A 24,571-nucleotide genomic window follows, 5' to 3' on the forward strand; every position below is an offset into this window, starting at 1 on the left:
GGTGGGGGACTCCCAGCCCTGCAGGAGGCATGCGTGGAACTCCACTGATACAAATTCAACAAACCGGACCCAAGTTGTGTTGTTGTGAAGGGGCTGGGGGCAGGAGGGCAAGTTCACTTACCTTGTTACCTGGTGGCAGTTTCAGACCCCTAGGAGCAGAATACCTGGTGTTTTTTTGTGCTAGCTGGCTGCCCATTTAGTTTCACACATGGTTGTTCATTCATTTGACAAACACTAACCACCTCCTCCATGCCAGTAAATTAGACCCAGTATCTGATTTCTGGGTTGGTAGGGACTTCAGACGCACAAATAACTGGAGAGTGGCTGGGATTCTGGCTATCAGGGAAGGCTTCACAGAGGAGGTGACACTTGAATTGGGTCTTCAAGGATGAAGAGGAGTTTAGCAAGATGCAAAGGAAGGGGGCAGAGAAGCCAGGCCTTGGAAGCAGATGGAATTTTAAGCACTAAGGAGGCAAGAAGGGACTTGCTATGTTCAGGGAGTAGTGAGAAGCCTGGCCGAGAGAGCTGGGTGTCACGGGGTGGGTGGGGCCTTGAGTGCCACAGCGAGGTCTTTGGGCTTATCCTGACATTTTGGGGTACTCTTGGACGTTCAGAAATGAAGAGGTTTGTAATCTAACTTCATGAGGAGGCAAGACCAAACTTTGGGTGTCTCTCTCCCAACCTTCTGCTTTCTCTCTGAAGTGGTAGGTAGCAGTGTCCTGGACAAAGGCTGGGAGTTGCCCTAAGCTGTGGCGGAGGGGCTGGACAGGGTTGCCTTGAGGAGTGGAAGAGGTCTACTGAGAGTAGAGAGACCTGAGTGGAGTGTGAAGTGTGAATTGTTCTGAGAACTCAAGGAAGAGCCACATAAACTGTAAAGGGCAGTGACGGGGTGTGGGAATGGCACCCTCAGAGGAGGGTAGGAGATCTTGACTCAGCAAGGGTAGTAAGCGGAGAGTTAGGGTGGTAAGTCCTGGAGAGTTGATAACAGTGATCATGATCACCGTTTATTGAGCCCAGCCCTGTAAGGCAGCCTCTGTCATCATCCCCATTGGACAGATGTGGACAGAGGCTCAAGAGAAGGGACTTGTGCAAGATTCCAGTGCTAGGAAGTGATAGGGCTGGGATTCCAAGCCCGGTGCATGCAGTCTGGACCTTAAGATCTGGGCATGAAGACCTGCTTGGAGAAGCTGGAGTGCTCCCAGGACATTAGGAAGCCAATGTTACTGGAGGTGAAAGAATCAGCCATACCCTGTGTGTCTCTGCAGCTGCCAGTGATTTAAGTCGAGACCATCCTGGCTAACACGGTGAAACCCCGTCTCTACTAAAAAATACAAAAAATTAGCCGGGCGTGGTGGCGGGTGCCTATAGTCCCAGCTACTCGGGAGGCTGAGGCAGGAGAACAGCGTGAACCCAGGAGGCGGAGCTTGCAGTGAGCCGAGATCATACCACTGCACTCCAGCCTGGGCAACAGAGTGAGACTCCATCTCAAAAAAAAAAAAAAAAAGAAATTAATCAGATTAGTAATCCATGTTCAAATGCTCCTGAAAAAATTGGCTTTCAGAGTTTTGTTTATTAGCCTTATGAGTTTAATAAATTGAGCATTAAACAAATAAACCCGTAAAAACTCAGAGGATATGGAGATATCTTCTCACAGCCTGGGACTCTTCAAAGGAGGGACATCCCTGAAAATGGAATTTCTTACTCCATAATATCAGATGATCCCCTGGAGGGGAAAAATGTGTTTGGAGGTAGGGGAGATGTGTATGGCCACCCCCACCTTCTGGAGGCCGGGCTGATGCTGAGTAATAAGAACTTGAGGTGAATCGGGCCCCAAGTCTCAGGAAGAGACAGACATGGGCATGGTGCCCAGGGCCCAGGGTAAGGGCAGCTTATGAGCAAAGGCACATGGAGATGCACAGAGCAGGGAGGGAGTATCTGGAGTATCTGGTGATGCTGCCGTGTGACCTTAAAAGAGTGACCTGGCCTCTGCACCTTTCTGTGCTCATCTGTAAAATGGGAATGGAAACAGCATCTTCCTTTGAGGGTTCTGTGAGGATTGAATGAGGTGATGCAGGCAGCTGATAACTGAGCATTATTAGTCCTCAGTAATGTTCTGAGACTGATAACGGAGCCAGGAGTGCTCTGTCCAGATCAGGCCAAACAAGCTAGAAGGGCTGGCCGGAACCCGGGGTGGTGGTGAGAAGGAGGCACAGTGGGGCCCTGTAAACCCAGTCAGCGTCAGGGAGGCTGCCCCCAGGAATCATGGAGACTCTAGCAAGGGTGAGCAACAAAGGCGTTTTGGGCACACACCGAACAAAAGAAATGTGGGGTACCTGGAGTACCTTCTTCATGCCAGCATGGTGCCGAGGGCTTTAAATGCATCCAGCCCCTGCCAACAACCCCATGGTCGGGGATGATCATTCCCTTTTTTTTTTTATTTTTTATATATTTTTTGAGACGGAGTCTCTCTCTGTCGCCCAGGCTGGAGTGCAGTGGTGCGGTCTTGGCTCACCACAATCTCCACCTCCCAGGTTCAAGTGATTCTCTTGCCTCAACCTCCGGAGTAGCTAGGATTACAGGTGTGTGCCACCATACCCGGCTAATTTTTTGTATTTTTAGTAGAGACGGGGTTTCACCATGTTGGCCAGGCTGGTTTTGAACTCCTAACCTTAAGTGATCCGCCCGCCTCAGCCTCCCAAAGTGCTGGGATCACAGGCGTGAGCCACCGCGCTGGCCTGATCATTCCCATTTTATAGATGAAGAATTTGAGGTTCAGAGAGGTCAAATGCCTTGCCTAAAGCTGCACAGCAAGGAAGTTATGGAGGTTGTGCCCGCCACACCTGCTGCTTTACACTGACAACTCGCTACATCTTCATGCTGAGATGCAGGCAGTGTTGTCCAGCCCATTGTATAGATAAGTGAGCTGAGGCTCGAGAAGAAAAATTACTTGCCCGGTCACCAGCTAGCAAGTGGTGGGACAAGGCATGGAACTCAAGTCCATGTGATTCCAATGCCACCTGTCTGTGGCTGGGCCTTCTTCTCAGTGGCTGGCTCCATAGTCCTCCGTGGTGGGAGGCACGAAGAGAGGGGGAATGGGGGCTCACAGAGAAGAGGGAACCCCGCTGGTATCCCCAACCCCTCCCATACACGCCATTAGTCGCTCTCACCCCAGCACAGTAGACAAAGGCAGCCCCATAATTGGGAGTGAGTATTTCATGCATCCCCCCCGATGTTTTATTGGGTGGAGAGATGCTTGGAGACCAAACGGATGGCGCATTCTGTTTATAAAGTGCGCGCAGTTTGTTTTATTTCCTGAGTTTTTGCAATCTAGATAACAGATGATACCCTGAGTGGCTGGCGCTGCCTCTGTAATGGCGGCACTGAGCCTTTGGAGAAGTATTAATAATAGATTGTGTTGATGAGTTTGGAGAAAGTAGCAATCGACCCCCTGCTGCCAAGGCATTAGCGCGGCTGTTCTGAGCACAGCCAGCACTGTGGCTTTGACTGCAAATGCAGGTCACCCGCCCTGCTGCCCCTTCCCCAGCCTAAGAAGGTTTCCTCTCCGGGAGTCACCCAAGGTGTGCTGACCCTGGCCTGGGACCCTGGGACCGTGGCGCTCCCACGCTAGCAGCGACACGGCCAGTGTCTGTCCACTCAGAGGCCGCAGAGGTCAGGCTGCAGACCTTAGTGTGGCCACTAGGTCAGGTGGAGTGTGGGGAGGGGACAGAGGGGCAGTAGGGGTTGGGGGAGGACCACCCTCCATGTCAGAGCACCGGGTTCTACAAACCCAGGCTCCTTCCTCAGCCCCTCGGGAGAGCTGGACAGCCAGCCAGATTCCTAGGGCCTCTGCCTAAAGCTGTCACTGACAGTTGGGTAGGTTGTGCCCTGAACAAGGGGATTCAGCCAGAGGGCCAAATTAGAGCCAAAATCCAGCCCACATTCCCCTTGCAGAGCCATGCCCTGCAGGCTGGTGGGGTCCAGCATGCCCAGAGCAGAGCCTGGCCTCAGCCTCAGCTCACCCCAGGCCTTTACTCACCTACTCTGTAAACACTCACGGAGGCCCCCTTGAGGATCAGATGGGGCCAGGTCCTGTCTCATGGAACCCTGGTAGAGGTGGTAGAGTTGGGCACCAACAGGGACATGCATTGTCATTCTGCTGTGATACCCGTGTACTGAGTTACATGCTCAGCATCCTCGAATCCTGACAACAGCCTTCAGGAAGGGCTTGACATCTCCATTTTACAGGAGTAAACTGAGGTGGGGGACGCTGAGGGGAGCATAGAGGAGGCTACCTCCCCCAGACTGGGGCATCAGAGAAGGCTTCCCAGAGGAGGTGGCATTGGAGTTGGGCATTGCAGGATGAGTAGGAGCCTGCTGGGTAGAATAGAGGTGGGTGGCAGGGGTTGCTGGGGGTGCCCCCTGCTGAGTGCTCTGGCCAGTGCCCAGGCAGCATGCAGAGCTCCAAGTGGCCCTGCCCACTTCGCCCCACCAGCTCGCCGTGGGCGGTTCTGACGGCAGCTCCAGGAAGGGAGGCAGGCGAGTGCCTCCCATTTATGGCCATTTCTGTTCCAGAACCGATTAGTAGAGAATTGCAGCTGTAATCTGTGCCCGTGATGGTGGGCCATAAAGAGGGATGGGATGTGCACAGCGCTCCCAAGGTGGCGCCCGCAGACATGGCCCGGGGACGCCGGGAATGAAAAATGGTTTTAATTCCCTCCCAGCAGCAATAATTTGATTCTTCATAAATTTTTCCATCAAAGTGTTGTTGAGCTGAGTTCCCACAGAGCAGGACACGTGACAGGGTGGGGGAGTGTCGGGAGGAGCGGTCAGCAGACACAGCAGAGGAGGGGCCGTGCTGCCCAGCCCTCCTGCTAGTGCTGACCAGGGCCCGGAGACCACCTCTCCCGGCCCTCGTTTGTCTGCAGAGATGATGGGAGATGGGAGATGGAATCACGTTGTCATGTGGAAGCTGGATTAGGCCCAGCCTGGGAGTTGCCTCCAGCATTTACTACCCATGCGACCCTGAGCAAGCAACTCTGCCTCTTAGCACCTCAATTTCCTCATCTCTAAAATGGGGTTAATGTTCATTCTTTTCTTGCAGGGTTGTTGCAAGGATTAAATGCGTCTCTGCATATAAGATGCTTAGAGCAGGGCTGGCACTCTATACGTGCTCAGTGAATATCTGTTCGTGATGGAGATGCGTAAGCTGAGACGGAGGGATGGGAAGGTGTTAGCCAAGCCAAAGGACAGAGAAAGATGGGTCGAAAGATGGCTGCCATGATAGTGCTCTGGAGAAACTGCAGGCTGTTCTTTGGGGCTGCAGCCTGGGGAAGCAGAGGGTAGAAAGGGAAGAGGCGGGATCATGAAGGGCCTTGAGTGCCAGCCTCAGGAGCTCGGATGGTCTCCTAAGGGCACTAGGGAGCCATGGAAGAGTCTGGAGCAGGGAAGCAGCTTGATCCGATTTGTATTTTAGAAAGATCCCCCTGGCTCCTGTGTGTGTGACGGTTCCTGTGTGGGCTGGGGTTTGAAGGATTGAAGGGGCCAGGAGCCCAGAGAGGGGACCAGGCAGTTGCTCGGGCAGGAGAGGAGGGGCCCAGGCTGGGCAGTGGGTTGGGCAGGGCTGGGAATTGCTTGGATGTGTTGGTGAGGGAGGATCAGAGGAGAGGCAGACCAGGGAGCTGAGGTAGAAAGGATCCTTTCCAGCCAGGGGCTGACCTGGCCCCCAAGGAAAGTTTGAGTGGACCCTCCACACTGCCCTCTTGTGGCCACCGTGTCTCTGAGCTGGAAGGGCCCTGAGCTGCCACGCCCGGGACAGGTGACTCTAGGCAGGATGCCAGCACCCACCCCAGGGCCACTGGGGGCCTGTAGGCAGAAGAATAGGGCTGCAGGGCCCTTCTGCTGTCTGACCTGGTGCCCAAGGAGGGCCTCTCCCTCCCACCTGGGCCTGAGGGTCAGGGTGGCAAGAGGGAGAGGCCCTCGGCAGGAGTGGCCTCTGGGAGGGACTTCTGAGCACCGCCAACACGCCCGCTTTGTGCATCCGCAGGCTCTTCGCGGCCAAGTGCAGCGGCTGCATGGAGAAGATCGCCCCCACCGAGTTCGTGATGCGGGCGCTGGAGTGCGTGTACCACCTGGGCTGCTTCTGCTGCTGCGTGTGTGAACGGCAGCTACGCAAGGGCGACGAATTCGTGCTCAAGGAGGGCCAGCTGCTGTGCAAGGGTGACTACGAGAAGGAGAAGGACCTGCTCAGCTCCGTGAGCCCCGACGAGTCCGACTCCGGTGAGGCCTGGCCTGAGCTGGGGGCAGGCCTCAGGGACGGGGGTTGCTGGGGTGTCCTGGAGGGGAGTCCCGGCTGGAGAAGCCACCTCCTGCTTCCAGGACCTGAGCTGCACACAGATGGTACATGCATATCCAGATGCACACGCGCACTGACGTGTCCACCTGTGTGCACATGATACGAACATGCATCCCCCCAGGCACACTACCCCTGAGACCTACGCATCCATACATATAAACATATGTGTGATCACATGTGTGCACACAAGCACATAAAATGCATGCAGGAATACCCCTACCCTGAGTATGGATACATGTACATGTATGTGGAGATATGTGTTCACATACCCGGGAATTCAAAAGCCACACCCAGGTCCACACACACAAGTGTACACACTTAAGCATACATACACATACACACATGACACAGCACACTTGTGCACTAAACACCGGTCCACATGGCTGCACATATATGTTTGTCCACATGCTCACATGTACTGTGGATTGTGCTTGTGTGCACACACACACCTCTTGTTCTCTGGCCCACCCCCCTTACCCTCTCTGCCTTGATGGCCCCCCACCAACCCGCAGCCCAGCTCCACAGGGGTCTTCACCAGCACCCAGTCCACAGGCTGGGGATGCCTGAGAGGCAGGGAGATGATGTGCCTTCCCCTTCTCAGCCCCCTGGAGCCTTCAGCAGTGAGAAGCAAACAGCCTCGAGCCAGCCTCTGTTTCCCAGCCGAAGGGAGGGGGCTGGGCCCTCTGTGCTGGAGGGAAAGACCCCATTTCCCAGGGTGAAGGACCCTCCCTCCTCTGCTCTAGCCCCCAAAAGGACGAGGCCAATTTGAAGGCCTCCTGGCAGACAGGGCAAGCCCAGCCAGGAGTGAGCCTTAAGGAGGGAAAGCCCAGGAGGTGGCTTTGGTCCTTGTTCTTCCTGGGAACAGTGGGGAAGGACTGGAGCAGGAGGCATGGAGAGGAGGTGTCCCGGTCTGCCAGGCCCCATGGGTAACCTGGAGCCCTCCGGCAACAGGATCTGCCACATGGGAAGGGTTTTCCATGGCCAGGGCCTGCGTGGAGGCAGTGAGCCCACCACCATCTGTCCCTACCCATCCCTGGGCAGGGCACTGCTGCAGCCAGCTCCATGGCTTCCAGCTGCCTGGACTCCTGAGGAAGAGCAGAGGCTGGCCAGCCCCAGCAGAGGGGGTCTCAGTGGGAGGAGATCACCCGCCTCATACTCCAAGAACAGGATTGAAGAAAGGAGACCAGCCTGGGGGGCAGCGGGAGGCCCAGTGGTGGCTGGGGAGGCTTGGCCATCCATCTGGGGCTGCTGGCATTTCTGAGACCCAAACCTGGGGCGGGGAAGTGCCATGTGTGCATGGTGGGTGTGGCTGTAGCACTGGGAGAATGCACATGCTTCCGCACGCTGTGTGTGTCTGTCCAGATGCATGCATGCCTGTACGTTCCTGCCCGTGAGCATGGGCCCATGTGTGTGAATACGCCTGTGAGTTGCACGCGTGAGGGCCTTTGTGAGCCCACGTGTATGTGGCAGCAGGTGAGTGTGCATCTTACGAGTGTGTGCGTGCATACGCTGTGGTCAGAAGCACTCTTGTGTGAATATCTGTGGTGTGTGTCTTTGCTTGCACACTTTCGTGTATGTCCACACAGCCATGTGCACAACCGTGCGTGCACCTGTCTGCCTGTTCCCCGAGTGGGCCTGCCTTCCTGAAAGTGTGTGCAGCCACATGTACGTGTGTGCATGCCTGTGCTGTGGTTGTCCGAGGCGCACCTGTGTGAGTTCCTGTGCAGGTGTGCCCTGCGGCCCAGGATGAGGGAGTGAGGCGTGTGTGCCGGGGAAGGGACTCGCAGGGTACAGCAGGCAGGAGACCAGGGCCCAGATGAGGTAGGGCCTGTGGGCCACGGGAGGGAAGGAGATCTTATCCTGGGCCACTGGGGAGCCACGGCAGGTGTCAACAGAGGGGACAGGCTCCCATCGGGCAGCAGGTTGCCGAAGGGGACAAGGCTGAGGCCTGGGCTGCCCCCGCCCCTTCATCACAGGCCGGGTTGTGTCCCCCACAGTGAAGAGCGAGGATGAAGATGGGGACATGAAGCCGGCCAAGGGGCAGGGCAGTCAGAGCAAGGGCAGCGGGGATGACGGGAAGGACCCGCGGAGGCCCAAGCGACCCCGGACCATCCTCACCACGCAGCAGCGAAGAGCCTTCAAGGCCTCCTTCGAGGTCTCGTCGAAGCCTTGCCGAAAGGTGAGGGGCGGCCGGGGGGCGGGGCTCAGGCTGATGCCCGCACACCCACTGCCTTTCTGGAGACCACCCCCTGCTCCTGCTGGGGGTAGGGACATCCCTCCATCCTCCATCTCTCCGCACATCCCATCATACCCCTAAACCCACCATCTCCCCGTTGCTGCCCCTGGAGGGCCTGACCTGTTCCCCTCTCTCTGAGCCAGGTCCGAGAGACACTGGCAGCTGAGACGGGCCTCAGTGTGCGCGTGGTCCAGGTCTGGTTTCAGAACCAAAGAGCAAAGGTAAGAGGCCACCCCCCATCCCCACTGGCCCCGGGTAGGGTGGGACTAGAGGGGGCAGCCAGAAGACTACGGTCCAGGGGGCGTGGGGCTGGCTGTGCCTGGGGGCGAGGGGCAGCACCGGCCTGAACTGCGCTCTCCCTGCAGATGAAGAAGCTGGCGCGGCGGCACCAGCAGCAGCAGGAGCAGCAGAACTCCCAGCGGCTGGGCCAGGGTGAGCCGGGGCCGGGGCAGGGCCTGGGCCAGGGTGAGCTGGGGCCGGGGCCAGGGGTGGGCCTAGGCCAGGGTGAGCTGGGGCAGAGGCTGGGGCTGGGTGAGCCTGGGCCAGGGCTGGGACCGGGGCTGCACCTGTCCCAGGGCTAGGGACAAAGGGGCCCGGGATGTTTCTTTTAACAAAACTTCTCAAAAGCCTTCCACCAAGGCCATCAGATCCCAGGGAACTTCTGCTTTAAAACCACTGAGACAGAGAAATAGAGAAGCCATGGGGACTAGGGGACCCAGGGAGGAGAGATGGCAGAGTGGCTGCCTGGAGGGTTGGCAGAATTTCTGCAATCAGAACAGCAACAGTCTACTCACACTCACTGCGTGCAGACACGGGTCTCAGCCTTCAGCACACCCCATCTCACCCTGTCCTCATAAATCACTGCAAGGGGGGGTATTGCCATGTCCCATTTCACAGATGAGGAAACTGAGGGACTGCCTGGGATCCCTCAGCCAGTAAGGCAAAGCTGGACCTCAGCCCCAAGCCTGGAGCTCAAGCCTGTACCTTTAACAGGATGACACTACCCCACTGCCGGAATTCTGCAGACAAAGCTTGTCAGGGCGTGAAGGGCCTGGGGAGTCGGGAGGGACTAGCTGCAGGGGCATGAGTCAGGCCCCCTCATCACTGGGCTTTACCAAAAATCGTGTTTCCACATCAGAATCTTGAGCCAGGGCTGGTCTCCTGGGCCTTCAAAGCCATGAGGGAGGAGCAGGGAGCTCCCTGGGACTGCTGAAGCAGGCGGGGGACAGAGCTGCCTGCGCCCTGGTGAGAGGGAGGCTTCTGGGCAGGTGCCAGGGCACCAATGGGCAGATACCAGGGCACTGGGGGCCAGGCCAGTGTCCCAGGCTGGACTTGGCTTCTAATGACACAGCCTTAGTGCCTGCTGCTTCCTCGCTTCCCCCTCTGCCCCTCCTGGGGCTGCAGTCACTGCCTCTGGTCTCCCAGCCATGTCCTGGGCTATGTCTCACCCCTCAGTGTTCCTAGCTGCTTCCTGGACACAGCCTCCCTGAGAAGGTCCCACAGTCCCCCCAGCTCATCCCAACCCATGCCGTATGCTCCATCCTGCCCACACGCACATGGCATGCCCTGCTCCTCCCCACCCTTCTCTGCAAATGGCACCACCATCCGCCCTGTCCGAGCCAGGAACCAGGAGTCACCTCTGACCTTCCCCATCCCACACTGCTGATCCACTGAGGTGCCAAGTTGGGGAGTGAAGTCTTCTCATGTCTCTCGCACCCTCCTAGGAGCTGTCTCTCCCACAGCCACCTTGACAGAGACCCCACCCTTCCTCTGGCTTCCTCACCCACTGGCCCCAGCCTCGGTCTCCTCCTCCAGCCTTTCTCACCCTCGTCTACCAAACCCTCCAGCGGCTCCCAGCGGCCTCGGGGACCCCCACCCAGCTCGGCACCCCAGGGCTCCCCATGACCTGTGGTCCCTCTCAGCTGGTCTCCCCCACACCGACCTCTCTCCCTGCCTCTTGGCCCCACGTGCTGCACCCTCACTTACCCGGCGGTCTGTCTCCTCCATGCCTTTGCCGCCCCTCAGCCTGGCTTGCCTCCCCTGCTCTGGCCTGTTGAGCCCCTGCTAGTTCTTTAAGTCACATCAGGGCGGGGGCCCTTTCCTCCAGGAAGTCTTCCCGGGGCCTTTTTGGCCTGGGTCTGGGACCTTGGTGCTCCCAGATGCAGCGCAGAATCACTATTGCCTGTGTGGGGTCTGCCGCCTCCCTGGATCCCCTGGAGGGGCGGGGTGGTGGGAGGAAAGAAGATGAGGAGGGGAGGACTCTGGCTTTTGGTAAGCTGAGCCTGGAGGAGGAGCTGGAGTGTGCACCTGGGGAAGGGGCTGGGGAGTCAGTGTCTGGACAGCTTCAGCCAGAGTGGGGTGCCTGGGGAGTCCCAAGGAGATCAGAAGGGGAGGCTGCTGGGGTGTAGCTGGGAGGGCGTGGACCAGGCCAGGGGGTGAAGGCTCACTGTGCCCCCAGAGGTCCTGTCCAGCCGCATGGAGGGCATGATGGCTTCCTACACGCCGCTGGCCCCACCACAGCAGCAGATCGTGGCCATGGAACAGAGCCCCTACGGCAGCAGCGACCCCTTCCAGCAGGGCCTCACGCCGCCCCAAATGCCAGGTGACCACATGAACCCCTATGGTAAGCCGCCCTACCCCCACCCGCCCGCCCCAGCACAGCCCCTGCCCCCTGCCAGGCCAGGCAGGCCTGGGGCCAGGACAGCCACCTGCTGCCCTAGGGCTCAGGCAGCATGGCCAGCACAGCCCTCCTGCCCCTGCTGACAGGAAGGGCCCCAGTCCTTCTTGGCCGGCACTAGTCAGCAGGCCATCCTGTCTCTCCCTGGCCTCCAGTCACACAGCCTACAGGGCAAACAGGGGGCCCCCAGGAGCCCCAGCCTGTACCCCGGTCCTGACACCCCTTCTGCCCCCCAGGGAACGACTCCATCTTCCATGACATCGACAGCGATACCTCCTTAACCAGCCTCAGCGACTGCTTCCTCGGCTCCTCAGACGTGGGCTCCCTGCAGGCCCGCGTGGGGAACCCCATCGACCGGCTCTACTCCATGCAGAGTTCCTACTTCGCCTCCTGAGAGCCAGCCAGGCGCACGGACGCTTGGGCAGGGGCCTGGGGGGGACTGCCAGCCTCTGCGGCCAGCCTGGCCACCCCCGCCCTGCTCTCCGCACAGACTACAGACAGCCATACGGTGCCCTCCCCTCGGCCAGCTGGGCCTGACCACTGTGCCCGTTGGGTACAGCCAGACCGGTAGATGGGCACAGCCTGGGCAGGGGCTGTGTCCTGCCCACAGAGACCTTGTCATCCCCAGGGACCCAGAGCTCTCGGACGGCCACTCGCCTCCCAGCCCCACCTCGGCCTCCATCGCCTCCTCCCCATCTCTTTTTTGGGAAGCTTAAATTCTCTCTATTTTTTTAAATGTCCTCTCTGTGTCCATGGCCCTCCATGCAAGCCCCAGGACAATGGTGTCATGAGGCGGTGACCTGAGAAGCGTGTGTACCTGTGCCCCAGCAAGGGCAGGGGTGGCCTCTGGGGGCAGGCCCACTGCCTGGAACCGCACACCCCTCAGCCTGAGTCTGGAGCAGCAGTGGAGAGGGGCCTGAGGGGAGGCACTGTCAGGAGGCGGGCTCGGAGCCTGAGCCTGGGCAGGCGCAAAGGGACAGAGAGGCACGTGCAGACACATGCACACTTGCAGACAAACCCACGCAAACACACACACAGCTGTATGGGGACACCAGAAGGGACAGGGATGCTCAGCGGGTCTGTCCTGCCTTGTCAGAAAGAGAAAAGGAGGCCAGGCAGGGGACCCCCCAGTTCTTAAGAGCGATTGGAAAGGGAGGAAGGGGAGAGGAAGAGGCGAACTTGAAGCATCGGACCCAGTTGTATCCCAGCCTGGGCCCAAATGGGGGCAGCCTGGGCAGGGAGGGCAGCCCCAGGCCCCACCAACTCTAGAGGCAGATGGAGCCCCCAGAACCAGGTAGCATCAGACCAGACAACAGAGCCTCCAGGGGTCAGGGACTTCAGAAGCACCTGCTGGGCACCCCATCTGCAATGTGGTCCTCTCCCCAGCCACCTCTGCCTCCCCTCACATACCTCCAGTGACAAGGAGCTCACTAGGTCAGCGAGCCCACAGCAGCTGTGCTGTCCTGCATCCCAGAGCCAGGCTTCCCCAGCTCTCCCTCTTAACACTGTCCCCCAGCAGGCCTCCGGCTGTCCCTCTAAAGGTGTGGGGCAGGTATCACTTCACCTTCCCACTGATGTCAGCCGGCCAGAAGTGAGCAGGCACATCACCTCTCCTGCTGTGGCACCCTTCCTCTGTTAATTTGGCCCAAAAGACAATGATTTGGCCACATGACCTTAGAGATTCACCCTGCCCTGCTGTAGCTAAATCCCTGGGCCCCACACGCAAGTGACAGCTAAGCCACATCTGTTTTCTGTGTATATGCAGGATGGGGGCACCTACTGTTTTGTTTTGTTTTGTTTTGTTTTGTTTTGTTTTGTTTTGTTTTGTTTTGTTTGAGACGGAGTTTCGCTCTTGTTGCCCAGGCTGGAGTGCAATGGCGCGATCTCGGCTCACCACAACCTCCGCCTCCCAGGTTCAAGTGATTCTGATGCCTCAGCCTCCCTAGTAGCTGAGATTACAGGCATGCGCCACCACACCCAGCTAATTTTGTATTTTTAGTAGCAACGGGGTTTCTCCATGTTGGTCAGGCTGGTCTCCAACCCCCGACCTCAGGTGATCCGCCTGCCTCGGCCTCCCAAAGTGCTGGGATTACAGGCGTGAGCCACCGCACCCAGTCTGCACTTACTGTTTAGACTGAATGAGGGACCGTGACCTCTTTCCTTTTCCATTCCTTCTTACTCGATTCATTCCAGCCTGTGGAATTTCTCTGCACCCTGATTCAGTGACCACTGCTCTCCTCTCTCCCAGCACATCTGCCCAGTGAGGAGTTGGCCCTGGGTCTCACCTGAGGTGTGTGGACCGGGCTGGCCTCTCCCTGTTTGACATTGGCCCATTAATGCATCCTCTTTGGGGGACACATTCCAATTGCATTTCCTGCCCCCTTCTCCCAGGGCAATTGCAGAAGATTGTGTCAGGCGCCCTGCTGGAAGTCAGGTGCACTAGATCCATCCCCAGCCCCAGTCTGCTCAACTCTATCCCTGTCAGAGCAAGGAGGCTGGGCTGCTGGGGCCTGACTGGTGAGCCCACCCTGTCCCCTGGTGATCACTGTGTCCCCTTGTTCAGGTGCTCACAACCCTACCTTTAACTCTGAGGTCAAGCCCTAGGCCACCACCCTAAAGTCTGCCTGGTCCAACCTTTGAGCAAGTAAGGATAATGAATGTCCCTTTTCCACCTTTGGGGCCCTCTGCCTGGATCTCTGGAATCCTCTAAGTTCAACCTGTTCTGTGGTTTTGCTCCCGTTTGCTGGGAAATTCAGTCCCCCCAGAATGTCCTGGGCCAACCTCCTTGCCTGACATGTGGCCTCGTGTCACCCATTGGGCCCCAGCAGCCAGCTAGCCCTTCTGCAGCTCTTCTTACAAACAGAGCCTCTCCAAGGACCTCAGTTGATGTTCTGGTCCTTCTGCCGCCTCAGCCCACCAGGGTCCGTGCCACCATGGGTCTCTTGAGCAGCAGCTGCACTGGCTTCTGGAGAGACACCCCTCTTTCTCCTTTTGCACATGCACCATCTGAATCGTGCCAGGGACATCCTGGGCAGATTCAGGGGCAGATGCCCTATCCCCCAGGAGACCTGGCCCTTCTCTCTCAGACCCAATAAGTTGGAAGGGACGTCAGAAGCGGTCATCTCATCTGCCCCTTATTTTATAGTTGGAAACCCTGAGGCAAGAGAGGGAAAGAGGCCTGTCCAAGGTCCGGGTTAGTGACAGAGCTGAGCTGAGAACAGGGACGTTGTGCCCCACTGTCCCCTGTGGTTTGTGAATGACCTCCAGGTCAGGGGGTCACAACTTGTTCTTAGTAAACTTGCCAGCTGTTGGGGTCACATATTCCCATTCTGGGGCCTCACAAACCCCCGAATCCAGCCGGGACCCCATGCCAGGAGCTGGTCTAGGGACAGCATGCTTGTGACCCACAGACTGTTAAAGCCAGAAGGGACCTCAGAGAGTCCCTTATGCTGGAGGCGCCCTGTCAGCCGTGGCTAGGGGCCCCTTGCTCTATGCTGTGCCTTGCTGCCCACAGGCTCCCAGACACCAGTGCCCACTCTGCCCAGCCCCGGACTGGGTGTGGCTCGCAGATGAACAAGATGCAGGGCCTGCCTTGAGGGGTGTCTCCTAGAAGGAAAGCCAGACTCTCCGGCCCAGCCAGAGAGTCCAGACATGGCAGGGACCCGTTTCTCAGATGAGGAGCCTGAGGCTCAGAGAAGGGAGGCGATGTGTTCAGGGCCACCCAGCAGAAGCCTGTGGGGCTGGGCAACCTTCTCCCACTTTATGGGAGGAGCTGCAGCCTTGGCTGGGAGCTGGGCGGGGAGTAGCCAGGACCACCCCTTGCCCGTGCCGTGACATGGAACCTTCATCACTAAGGGGGCTGGAGTGGGAAGAGGGAGATAACTGTGTGGTCTCCAGAGCAAAAGAGAATGAGAGGTGGGCAGGGGGAGTCTTGGCAAAAGACCAAGTTCCACTTCCCTGCTGGGGAAGTCAAGGCTCAGAAAGAGGAAATAATTGCCCCAGGTAACACAGGGCAGAGGAGGGACAAAAAGCTGGGCATGGCCCCAGCCAGAGCCTCATCTGCCTACTCCGTGAAGCCTCCCAGGTACTCTGCTATCCTGGGAAACGCACAGGGAGGCCACACAGAGACACTGCTCACAAGAGTCAGACCAAGGTGCCAGCACAGCCTGGAAAGAGCTCAGAAAGGGGGTTGGTGCACGTGGCTGGGCATCTTAGGAGGCTTCCTGAGGGTGGGTAAAGGTGGGAAGGCCCTGGCGCTGCATCAGATGAGCAGGGCCTGGCAGGGACAAGCCTCTTCTCCTTTGGGAAGCCCTGCAGCCTCCTAGCAAGAGGCTGATTCCCCACTCTGCCCCCATCTGAATGTCCTTTTCATGTTGCACGCAGGGAACCTCAGGAAGGAGGATTGCCTGATGCCTGCCTGGCTCCATCCTTGAGCTCTGGGCACCACCTAGGGTGAGGGAGAGCCTGCAGCTCTGGGGCTAAGTCTGCCCTGGGGGGAAAGGGCTCCACGCTCACACGCACGCGCTCGCACACACACACTCACACCTGGACGCACACGGAGGCTTGCGGACCCATACTCACAGGCACATGTGGCCTGGGGACTGGGGGAGCAGGAAAGACCCCTCCAACATTTGGCCCTTGGAAGGCACCATTGCCAATGAGCCTCTTTGCTGGTTCCCCCGACCCCACCTGGGGGTCCCATGGGAGCCCAGCCCAGCCAGGTGTGGGGATGGGCCACCGGCCATTCCTGTTTTCCTTGTACAGACAGATTCTCACTACCCACCCGCCATCCCCAGACACATTTTATTTAATAACTTGTCATTGTTAAATTATTTATTAGCGTTTACCACACCACCACCCCCACCCTGCCCTCCACTCTCACCTTCCACCTCTTCCCACAACAGCAGAAAATGGAAACAACAACAAAAAAAGATGAGACATCAGTATATTTGTAAATAAACCGACCTGTACACTCCTGTGGTCTTCTCCTTGGTGGGCAGGGCCCGGGTGGAGGAAGGGGCTGTCCTGGGCCTGGGCCGGTCTTTGCACGTGACATTAGCAGATTTGTTGATGGCCACCAGGGACAGCAGGTCCGGAGGCGGGAGGGCTTGAGGTCCCTATTCTTGCCCAACCCTCCTGTGATTCTCTTCTCTTCCACCTTTGTCTCATCCCAACCCTGAGCCATCTCCAACCTTAAAAGAAATGCATTCACCCCATCTCCATTTCACTCTATCCCATTCTCCAACACTTTCATTCATTCAATCAACCAGTATTTGCGAAGGCCCCTTAAGTGCCAGCCACCAGGCTGAGAACTGGGGATTGGCTATCCCTGCTTCAAGGAGATCGCAGTGTGATACAAGCTCAGTTGAGGTACAAAGAAACCCTGTTGCCCGGGTACCCAACCTCGTCTGGAGGGTGGAGCATCATGGAAGGCTTCCTGGAAGAAGCTACATATTAAGCTGTGATCTGAAGTTACCTGGCATCAGGAGGACTGAGAGTGAGAAGGGGTGTCTGAGAGCATTCCAGACTTGTCCAAAACCTCAGGGGCAGGCAAAATCTTGTGAATCTCCTAAACTGCAAGAACAGCAAAGTTTGAGGGCAGGGCCAGACCGTTCAGGGCCTTGCTGCCAAGTAGAGAATAGATCCGATTAGATCAAGGTGACTGGATGGAAGCAGGGAAGTCAGTTGGGTCACCAGGTGAGAGGTGACGATGGCTTTGACTAGGGTGGCAGTCTCCAGGGCAGATCCCGGAGATATTGGTGAGGGGGGAGTCCAGGCAGCATCTAGGTCCCTGGATCACCGAGACGGGGGCACAGGAGGCACAGGGAGTGGGGACATGTGTGGTCTGGGCGTGTGAGCTTAGGGTCTCCCAGGCATCCAAGTGGAGACGTCCTGGGCCAGGGCTGGGCCTCAGAGTGACCAGACGGGATGCTGAGCACCCGGGTCTTCAACCAGGTGGCTGGCCACTGAGGCACGGGATGGATGAGTTCCCCAGAGGAGGACGGCATGGGAGGAGGAAGAAGCTGAAGCCAAACCCTGAGGAATCGTGAGGACTTGGGATGGGATGTGGCTGTGGGGTCTCTAGAGATGGTGGCAGGGATGGGGAGTATGGTGGTGATGGCAGAGACTCGAGGGAATTTGGTTTCCAAGGTGCATTCCTTGAAACTCTCAGGGTGTGTGTGCATGTGTGGACGTGTGTGTGTCTATGGAATAGCTCTGTGGGCCGGTTTGCCTGGATATGTCCTGCATGAAGCTGGGGGTCTGCAGGTGTCAGACCATCGTGCATGGCTGTGTCTCCTGGCGAGGCCGCATGTCTCTGCACCTGGAGACACGTGTCCCTGATGTGGCGACGTGCTGGTGGAGATGTTTGCATACCCCACACGGCGTCATTGCCTATCTTTGCATGTCTGCATCTGGGAGGCCTCTGGGCCTCCTGTCCGCAGACCTGACGTCCCAGTGTTCTCTCCCTTCTGCCAGCCCTCTGGTTGCTCCCCGACCTCCTCTCCCCACACCTGTGGCAGGGACCACCCGAAGGCCACCTCTCATCCCTGGATGCCCGCGGGCACCAGCGCCCCCTAGGGGCAGGCCCCGCCCTGCACCCTCTTCTGGGCTCTCCATTCACAGCCCTCCCCGGGCAGTTCCAGCTGCCTTCAGAGTCTAACGACTTGGAGGACCTCCGGTTCATGTCCTCCTCTACACTCCAACAACCCCAAGAGGCAGGTCCCCATGTTTCTGAAGGGAAAACCCAGGCTTGGAAGGCGAAAGCGACCAGCCCAATGCAGCAAAGCTAGCAAGGGACAGCCGAACCAGGGCTCGAACCCAGGTGCAGTTGCAAACCCATGGCCTGGCCACCACGCCAGCTGCCTCCCCAAGACCAGACTCTCTGGCCCTGCGATCCGGTCCTCCAGGTCAGGCCCAGGGTCCCGGGAACAAGGAAACTCCTACCTTCAGAGTGCCTCACTGAGGCTCAGAGAAATCAAGTTGCTCAACCCAGACTGCACAGCACAGAGGGAGGATTAATGGGGCTTTCTGTCCAAGCCACAGGCTGGGCTCATGTGAGGAGCTCTCTAAGCTCCACCCTCGCCCATAATGGGCTGACAGCTCTCTTGCCTACAGCAACCGTTTAAAATCCTGTCACTAAAAAATGTGGGGTGAGGGGTGAAGGGGAGGAGCTGTGCTAATCCGTCTCTCCCTTGTCACCTGCCTGTCTTCTTTCCCTAGCCCAGAAGGTAAAGGCATGGGTTGGCAGAGAAAATGTAGGCTGAGTCCCGGGGAATAAGCGGTCACCCTCTGAACCCCCTTTCTGGGAGCAGATTTTTAATTTTGACTGTCACCCAGGCTGGAGTGCGGCGGTGCAATCATAGCTCACTCTAAACCTCAGACTCCTGGGCTCAAGCAAGCCTCCAACCCAAGCCTCCTGAGTAGCTGGAGCTACAGGCACACGTCACCATACCCAGCTAATTTTTTAAGTTTTTCTGTAGACACGGAGTCTCTGTTGCCTACGCTGGTCCTGAACTCCTGGTCTCAAGCAACCTTCCCACCTTGGCTTCCCAAAGCACTGGGATGATAGGTGCGAGCTGCTGTGCCCAGCCCAGGGGCCAGTGTTAAACAGGACGGGCACTAGTGGAATGCCTGCCCCTGCCAGTCTCAGACTTTGGGCCATTGGCCCTCACGACAACTCAGAACAGCTCCTAGCCCATTGCACAGATAAGAAAACTGAGGCTTGGAGAGTAACTTGGTTCCGGAATGATTCCTCCCAGGAATTTGAGGTTTAGGCCATGGATCCTGTGGAGTTGAGAAAGGAGAGATCACAGGCAAGGAGTATAACTCTGAGGTCACCCTACAAAACTTATCTTCAATGACTCTGAGAGCCCCCAGTCCTGCCTCTGGAACCCCTCACTGCTGCCAGCCCCTGTCGCGCACCCCAGATTGGAGAAGGTGAGGTATGTGCAGCAGCTGTACAGATTGACAATCAGCCTGGACAGATGGGCATATGGGGGACGGTCAGGAGGAGGGCCACCACATAGAGCCATGCAATCCCTAGCATCATGTGAGTGGCACCCTGGATGCAGGCAGTGCAGTGGCAGGTCAATGCCTGGCCTGCAGGGTGGTCAGCTGGCGGAGACGCAGAACGTTGGGAGAAGGCTGCTGGGTTCCCCTCAGCTCCTCATCAGCAGGGAAGGGAGCACTCGGGGAGCACTCCCACGCACCTGACACTGGCTGAGCCTCCTGTGTCCTGCCTCACTGACACCTCGCAGCCCCGGGGGCAAATGATGTCCATTTGGAAGATGAGGACATGGCCCTCCAACCCCCATTCCTCCCAGGACCACCTGTCCTCCAGCTGTCACTGGTCTGCCCCAGAAGCCCCCTTTGGCATGAGTTTCCCCTGACTCTATGCCAGGCAGACCTTGACCCCAGGCATTGATGGACACGGGGACTCTGTTCATGGCTTTGACTTCAGAGCAACCCCTGCAGCCTGACAGAAGGGAGACCTGCCCTGGGCTGCTTCTTGCTTTGCCCTTCAGCCCTAGCTTGGCAGAACCTTCCCAGACCCAGCCCACCTGGGCAGAGCCTAAGAAGGAGTTAGGAGAAAGACTTACAGGACTCAACGAGTGGCAGGCTGATGATGGCTGTGCCTGGGAAAGCAGAGAAAGCCTCCTAAAGGAGGGACGTTCGGGCTGAGCCTGCAAAGATGAGTCAGCGTGCGTGGGGTGAGAGGAGGCGGGTAGGTGGAGCACAGGCTCAGAGGTGGGAGCTGCAGAAGTCTGGGGCAGCAGGGCACAGCCAGCTTGGATTCACAGTCTGAAGGCTGGAGGTGGCAGAAGGTGAGAGCCCCAGCACTACCACGCTGGGCATGCCAGGGTCATTCATGTCCTTGGCAGCAAGAGACACTTAACATGTCACATCCTGTTCTTTGATTTAGCAGGGAATAAAATGAGCACACTACGAGATACTGGAAATGCAAAGGAGTGTATGTATTCTCAAACATACCTATTCATGGCCCAAAGAGGAATGACAAAAACCTCTTTACCCACTTACTAGACAAAGAAAATGTACATTTTTAATTCCTTAGAGTCCTGGGTGTTCCCCTACCATAGTTTCAAGAGCCTTCATTTCTTCACTGGGAAAACTGATCCCAATAGCTCAGCCACAGCACAGAAAGCCCAGAATCTCGTGGGAACGGGCCCAAGGGAAAGCGGCCCTTGGTGCATCTTCCCTCTGCATCGAACATGCAGGTGGCTTGCTGTGAGGAGCACTCCACTTTCACTCGTGGCCCCCAATCCCCCTCCCCGTATCAAATCTTGGGGCGCTTTGCTGTTAAATCCCCAGAACAGACCTGAATTTCGCTACAAACCTGCAATCACCCGTCAGGCCACGAGGTGGCGATCCGGAGTCAGTCAGGTGTAGCCCACGTGGCCGGCGGAGCGCTGAGGGGCGGCGGGGACTGAGGAGGCTCCTGATCGTGGCCAAAGAAGGCAGGAGCGAGGACGCCGCCTCCGCAGAGGCTTCTGTGAGCCCCGCACTGCGTGGGCGCTGCTCACCGAGGACACCGCGGATTCCCCCACGCAACCCTGAGTGGATGGAAGCGCGCATTCCCATTTCACAGGACAGGAGAGCGGGCTCAGAGATGTTAAGGAGCCTGCCTGAGGCCACACAGCTGGGAAGCGGCAGGCTGGGGTCTGAACCAGGGCTGGGGCAGTGCAGAGACACACGAGGAGGAAAATAGAGGGAGATGGGCAGGGAAAAACCAAAAACGATAGCAACCGCTTTGGAGCCTTGTTATGCCTGACCCACGGACTCCTCACGCCGACCCGTGCGGCGGGGACTGTTGCCACCCCGTTTTATTGCTGGAGATGGTGAGGATCAGGAAGGCTAAAAGCCTGGGGGGCGCTGCTTACCCGCAGCTCCGTGGCCCCGCTTACCCGCAGCACCGTGGCCCCGCTTACCCGCAGCACCCTGGCCCCTGCCTACGGCGCTTACCCGCAGCTCCTCGAGCCCGGAGGGAGGGCCATGAGGTGGAAGTAGGGGACAGCTGAGCAGCCACCCCCCACCTCCCACCCCCATCCCCTGAGCTGCCACCTCCCACCCTCACCCGCAGCCCCAGCCCAGCCGGCCCCTTTTCCCTCGAGCAAGGTCAGCAGGCTTAGGTCCTCCCCAGGCCCCAGGCCAGCTTCCCCTTCCCCAGGACCGCCTCCAGGCACACGAGGGGGTCTCCCCGACCAGAGTGAGGCTCATCCCTCCAGGGGATGAGCCGTCCCCTGTGGATACCTCCAGAGCAGGTGGATACCTCCTTTAGGCCAGGGAAGCTTCTGCCAGCTGTGTTTCCTGTGACACCAGCCTTCCCTGCCCCATCTCTGAGGCTGATGGGCAGCTGTCAGGGGAACAGACACTTAGGCCTCCCGGAACCACATGGGCTGCGCCAGAGGCGGCATCGAGGCCTGGGCAGTGGGAGCTTGTGCCTGCCAGTCCGCCAGCTCTGAGCCTGGTGGCCAGAGCACCCCATTCCCTGTGACCCGTCCAAAGCTGAAGTCGGGGCCCCTTCTCGAATCACAGTGCAGGGATGCTCTCAGCCATGTTCCTCACCACGCGGGGGAGCCCTAGAGCTCACGGTCAATTCACAGGCAGAAGGAAGAGTCAGAGAGAGGGGCGGCCCCAAGGCTTCACTTTATGTAGGCATTGAAGGGCTAACAAATACATGGCCAATAAAGCACTTATTGCTTAAGCTAGTTTGAGTCTCTGTCACTTCTTACCAAAGAGTCCGGATTAAACCCCACACCATCTCACAGAGTTTTGGGGTGAATAAATGAGATATTTTTATCAGTGCTCAAAAAAAATAGTAGCTAAAATGATTCTCAACAGAGCACAATGACTGTCTTTGCACTTTCTCCTTCACATTTCACAACATCACTCCGTCTCACTTACACACACATGGTCTGCGAAAACTCTACACCTCACCTGTGCACGGATTTTGAGCCTGTATTTAAGAGGAGGCATTGCTTTGGAGACATTTTTTCTGCAAATTGCATCCAACAGGATATTGTCAAGAGATTTCCTGGGAACAAATGAAAATGATGATTTTTGATGTAAGATACGCAGTGGACAACATATATCATCGCTGCAACAGAGGTTCCTGCTATCACAGCTCTCGTGGTCACCAGCACCTGCCTGGTGTGGGGTCTCCTCTGGTCCCCCTCACACACAGAGAGCAGGGACAGCTGTGATTTACCCACAGCTGGAACTTGAGTCTGTGCCTCAGGGACAGGCAGCAGGGTACTTCATATGCAACAGAGTTCAATTGAAAAAGTGAATTATTGGTGCTGAGTTACTAATAAGCAAATAATCAGTTTATACCCATCACAAAAATGTCGACAAACAGAGTGATTGTGACAAGGGCAGAAAACTGCAATCATGCTCTGCAAAAATGAAGTGAAGCTGCAATTCTGCATGAAGGCAACTTATTGCATTTGATCTTTTTGCTTATAAAATGCCCTGCCAACCCCTAGTAATAGTGCTAATAACGAAGATGACCACAACGATGATAGCTGCTGGACTTTGAGTACTTATCATGATGGGTCAGTGCTTCAGACATTATCTCTTTTTTTTGTTTTTTGTTTTTTTAGACAGAGTCTCGCTCTGTCACCCAGGCTGGAGTACAGTGGTGCGATCTCAGCTCACTGCAGCCTCTGCCTCCCATGTTCAAATGATTCTCCTGCCTCAGCCTCCCAAGTAGATGCGATTACAGGCGCACGCCATCACACTGGCTAATTTGGTATTTTTTGGTAGAGATGGGGCTTTTGCCATGTTGGCCAGGCTGGTCTCAAATTCCTGACCTCAAGTGATCCGCCCGCCTCGGCCTCCCAAACTGCTGGGATTACAGGTGTGAGCCACCGCGCCTGGTCCAGGCATTATCTCATTCAATTCTCACTCAGAGTGTTATTATTATCCCTATTCCATAGATGAAGACACCAAAGCTCTGAGGGGTGAAAGGGTTTGTTCAAGGTCACAGAGCTGGTGGACAGCACTTCCTGAGAGCAGGTTACCAGCGTAAACAAGCAACTCTGCCTAGAAGAAAAGCCGGGACAGACCCAGACAGGAAGAGCCCCAAATTTTCTGCAACTATGCCATTCTGAGGGGTGGGGCAGCCTTCACCAACCCAGGCTCTAAGCCAAGGAGTGCCTTGGAGTGGCTTGAGGGTCGCGGTAAAGGCCTCTTTACAGTGAGGACTCAGCGGCAGGGCTGGGAGGTGTGGCCCCTCCTAAGCTGCTCCCTGGGCACCAGCCAGCAGGTTGGTTTAGACATGACAAGAAGGACAGGGAGAGAGGGAGACTGACGGCCAGAGAGCCACACTCCTTCTCTTGGCCCATCCCAGCCCCAAACAGGAACAATCTGGGCTCCTTACATCCTTGCCTTGTGCTGTTCAGAGAGGAAGGGCAGAGCTCAGACTGGTCAGCAGCTTGCTAAGGTCACATAACCAAGGACAGATAGGAAATGCTTTACAGAGTTGGAAGGGAAGGGAAGAGAATTGGTTCACTTTTTACAGAATAAAGGCCCTTCAGGAAAAGGCACTGGGTAGCGTAGGAGCCTAGAAAGTTGGTGAACAGCTGGGCCTGGTGGCTCATGCCTTTAATCCCAGCACTTTTGGGAGGCTGAGACAGGTAGATCGCCTGAGCTCAGGAGTTTGAGACCAACCTGGGCAACATGGAAAAACCCCACCTCTACCAAAAATACAAAAAACTAGCAAGGTGTGGTGGCATGCACCTGTGGTCCCAGCTACTCAGGAGGCTGAGGCAGGAAGATCACTTGAGCCGGGGAGGCGGAGGTTGCAATGAACAGAGATCATGCCACTGCACTTCAACCTAGGTGACAGAGAAAGACCCCATCTCAAAAAAAAAAAAATTGGCCAATAGTAGGCAGGTGATATGGTTTGGCTGTGTCCCCACCCAAATCTCATCTTGAATTGTACCTCCCTTAATCTCCATGTGTCATGGGAGGGACCCAGTGGGAGGTGATTGAATCATGGTGGGGTGGGGGTGGTTTCCGGTGCTGTTCTTGTGATGTGAGTACGTCTCATCAGATCTGATGGTTTTATAAAAGGCAGTTTCCCTGCACATGTTCTCTTGCCTGCTGCCATGTAAGACGTACCCTTGCTCCTTCACCTTCTGCCATGATTGTGAGGCCTCCCCAGCCATATGGAACTATGACTCCATTAAAACCCTTTTTCTTTATAAATGACCCAGTCTCTGGTATGTCTTTACTAGCAGCATGAGAACCAACTAATACAGCAGGTCAGGAGAAGCAGGAAGGA

The 24,571-nt window shown here is 57.0% G+C and overlaps 1 protein-coding gene across 3 annotated transcripts in view, besides 10 other annotated features; it reads left to right on the plus strand.

The window, feature by feature from the left end:
* Positions 1-16,240, plus strand: part of LMX1B (LIM homeobox transcription factor 1 beta) — an 87,105-nt gene extending 70,865 nt beyond the window's left edge. Inside the window, exons 3-8 of one of the 3 annotated variants that reach the window (NM_001174146.2) lie at positions 6,044-6,276; positions 8,350-8,531; positions 8,732-8,809; positions 8,954-9,053; positions 11,047-11,190; positions 11,502-16,240. In NM_001174146.2, the coding sequence (NP_001167617.1) occupies positions 6,044-6,276; positions 8,350-8,531; positions 8,732-8,809; positions 8,954-9,053; positions 11,047-11,190; positions 11,502-11,659 (895 nt within the window). In that variant the 3' untranslated portion in view covers positions 11,660-16,240. Of the gene's footprint in view, positions 1-6,043; positions 6,277-8,349; positions 8,532-8,731; positions 8,810-8,953; positions 9,054-11,046; positions 11,212-11,501 lie in introns of all 3 variants that reach the window. The other 2 variants (NM_001174147.2, NM_002316.4) reach the window with 2 other exon arrangements.
* Positions 3,089-3,971: an enhancer, noted in NCBI's record as "NANOG-H3K4me1 hESC enhancer chr9:129450160-129451042 (GRCh37/hg19 assembly coordinates)". NCBI's record gives its function as "activates a minimal SCP1, AML or CMV promoter by ChIP-STARR-seq in naive H9 embryonic stem cells {active_cell/tissue: H9 hESC(naive)}" and the evidence as "EXISTENCE:reporter gene assay evidence [ECO:0000049][PMID:30033119]".
* Positions 9,503-10,273: an enhancer, noted in NCBI's record as "H3K27ac-H3K4me1 hESC enhancer chr9:129456574-129457344 (GRCh37/hg19 assembly coordinates)". NCBI's record gives its function as "activates a minimal SCP1, AML or CMV promoter by ChIP-STARR-seq in naive H9 embryonic stem cells {active_cell/tissue: H9 hESC(naive)}" and the evidence as "EXISTENCE:reporter gene assay evidence [ECO:0000049][PMID:30033119]".
* Positions 11,663-12,163: an enhancer, noted in NCBI's record as "H3K27ac-H3K4me1 hESC enhancer chr9:129458734-129459234 (GRCh37/hg19 assembly coordinates)". NCBI's record gives its function as "activates a minimal SCP1, AML or CMV promoter by ChIP-STARR-seq in naive H9 embryonic stem cells {active_cell/tissue: H9 hESC(naive)}" and the evidence as "EXISTENCE:reporter gene assay evidence [ECO:0000049][PMID:30033119]".
* Positions 17,354-17,948: an enhancer, noted in NCBI's record as "H3K4me1 hESC enhancer chr9:129464425-129465019 (GRCh37/hg19 assembly coordinates)". NCBI's record gives its function as "activates a minimal SCP1, AML or CMV promoter by ChIP-STARR-seq in naive H9 embryonic stem cells {active_cell/tissue: H9 hESC(naive)}" and the evidence as "EXISTENCE:reporter gene assay evidence [ECO:0000049][PMID:30033119]".
* Positions 19,992-20,717: an enhancer, noted in NCBI's record as "H3K4me1 hESC enhancer chr9:129467063-129467788 (GRCh37/hg19 assembly coordinates)". NCBI's record gives its function as "activates a minimal SCP1, AML or CMV promoter by ChIP-STARR-seq in naive H9 embryonic stem cells {active_cell/tissue: H9 hESC(naive)}" and the evidence as "EXISTENCE:reporter gene assay evidence [ECO:0000049][PMID:30033119]".
* Positions 19,992-21,443: a biological region, named in NCBI's record as "H3K4me1 hESC enhancers GRCh37_chr9:129467063-129467788 and GRCh37_chr9:129467789-129468514".
* Positions 20,518-20,812: an enhancer, noted in NCBI's record as "tiled region #3640; HepG2 Activating DNase matched - State 12:CtcfO, and K562 Activating DNase unmatched - State 8:EnhW". NCBI's record gives its function as "activates a minimal TATA promoter and a strong SV40 promoter by Sharpr-MPRA in HepG2 and K562 cells {active_cell/tissue: HepG2 | K562}" and the evidence as "EXISTENCE:reporter gene assay evidence [ECO:0000049][PMID:27701403]".
* Positions 20,718-21,443: an enhancer, noted in NCBI's record as "H3K4me1 hESC enhancer chr9:129467789-129468514 (GRCh37/hg19 assembly coordinates)". NCBI's record gives its function as "activates a minimal SCP1, AML or CMV promoter by ChIP-STARR-seq in naive H9 embryonic stem cells {active_cell/tissue: H9 hESC(naive)}" and the evidence as "EXISTENCE:reporter gene assay evidence [ECO:0000049][PMID:30033119]".
* Positions 21,444-22,167: an enhancer, noted in NCBI's record as "H3K4me1 hESC enhancer chr9:129468515-129469238 (GRCh37/hg19 assembly coordinates)". NCBI's record gives its function as "activates a minimal SCP1, AML or CMV promoter by ChIP-STARR-seq in naive H9 embryonic stem cells {active_cell/tissue: H9 hESC(naive)}" and the evidence as "EXISTENCE:reporter gene assay evidence [ECO:0000049][PMID:30033119]".
* Positions 21,902-21,981: an enhancer, noted in NCBI's record as "active region_29017". NCBI's record gives its function as "activates an Ori minimal core promoter by ATAC-STARR-seq in GM12878 lymphoblastoid cells {active_cell/tissue: GM12878}" and the evidence as "EXISTENCE:reporter gene assay evidence [ECO:0000049][PMID:35858748]".

The sequence above is a fragment of the Homo sapiens genome, chromosome 9 (genome assembly GCF_000001405.40).
Source record: "Homo sapiens chromosome 9, GRCh38.p14 Primary Assembly".
NCBI classification, from domain to species: domain Eukaryota; kingdom Metazoa; phylum Chordata; class Mammalia; order Primates; family Hominidae; genus Homo; species Homo sapiens.